General features: G+C 48.0%; 1 annotated feature.

The window, feature by feature from the left end:
- Positions 374–961: an enhancer, noted in NCBI's record as "OCT4-NANOG-H3K27ac-H3K4me1 hESC enhancer chrX:9260651-9261238 (GRCh37/hg19 assembly coordinates)". NCBI's record gives its function as "activates a minimal SCP1, AML or CMV promoter by ChIP-STARR-seq in naive H9 embryonic stem cells {active_cell/tissue: H9 hESC(naive)}" and the evidence as "EXISTENCE:reporter gene assay evidence [ECO:0000049][PMID:30033119]".

Below are 1,266 nucleotides of genomic sequence, written 5' to 3'. Positions count from 1 at the left end.
ACAAAAAAACTTTCCATTTTCAACTTTTGACTCTGAAGTTTAGGTTTCATTTGCAAGCTGATTTTTTCTGATTACGTAAAATTGCCTGATAGAGATCAGGAGGAGAGACGCTTCGGAAGCCCCAGCTTAGCTCCGTCCGAAGGCGCCCTGCCTCGCGGCTAATCTCCCTCCGTTTGGATGCTGCAGATCCGGGCTGTGTTTTAATAGGGATGTTAGAAACATTTGCCAAGCACCCAGACAGCCCGGAGACCTCTGGTAGCTTTGTGGTGTCATTTCACTGAAAGCACAGTGGTGGTTTTTTGAATACATTTACATAAGAGTGAAGACTCAGAGGGAGAGGAGAAAGGCAATTTGTTGTGAGGATTTTCATCCTGAAAGCCTTTAATGAATTGTTCTTTGCTCCCCGCATCCAGCGACCAAAGTGCCGCCGGCTGTTTGGTCTGCCGGCGGGAATGCGGTGTATAGGGTGGGTTCTCCTCTCCCCTTCCCACTGCCGCCCACACCTGGGCCCCACCTGGCACCTGCCTACCTGCTAGGAAGACCTAGTTCCTAATTTGCAGAGCAGACAGGTGACTGAGGGAGAGAGGTCACTGTTTACTGTTCTCTGAGCTGGTCTCATTTTATCAGATTGATTTCTCATGTTCTGCTTTCTACATAGTTTTCTTGCCTTGGTTCAGGGAGAACAGGGCTGGTCCACTTTGCCAAGGAGTAAGCCCCGGAATACATTAGGTTTGGGTTGACGTGCTCAGTTATGATCTGCCTGTTAGCGGAAGATCAATACGAGAAAGGCGGTGGCCATTACCTTTCTTTGACTTGGTCTCCTGTTATGGAAAGCTTCGTGGTGCTTGGTAGGAGTTGGAGGTGGCTAGGTCGGCCCCAGGGCAAGCCATCATTGTGATAAGAGAGAGAACCCATAGGGTTCCACCCAGAACCCCAAGGTTGACAGTTCCTGTGCTCTGAGAAGGAAGGGCCCGATGTAGCACACAGCAGAGACTGGAATACTGGAGGTGTGAGTTCAAAGCCTCGAGTCTTTAGAATGTTGTTGCCCTGGCCTACAATTTTAAACAATGAACCTCTTTGAGGAAAGGCCTTAAAATGTCCCTACTTTATTCAGTCTCTCAGTTGAAAAACAGAGCTCACCATATTAATATGTGTGGGTGTATATGCATGTGCATGTGTGTATATGGGCATGTGTGTCTGTATGCATACGTGTATGCACACATACCCATATGCACACATAGGTGTGCATGTGTGTACAGACATGAT

Source organism: Homo sapiens, chromosome X, assembly GCF_000001405.40.
Source record: "Homo sapiens chromosome X, GRCh38.p14 Primary Assembly".
Classification (NCBI taxonomy): domain Eukaryota; kingdom Metazoa; phylum Chordata; class Mammalia; order Primates; family Hominidae; genus Homo; species Homo sapiens.
The sequence above is the reverse complement of the archived record's forward strand: the minus strand, read 5'-3'. Positions and strand labels throughout refer to the sequence as shown.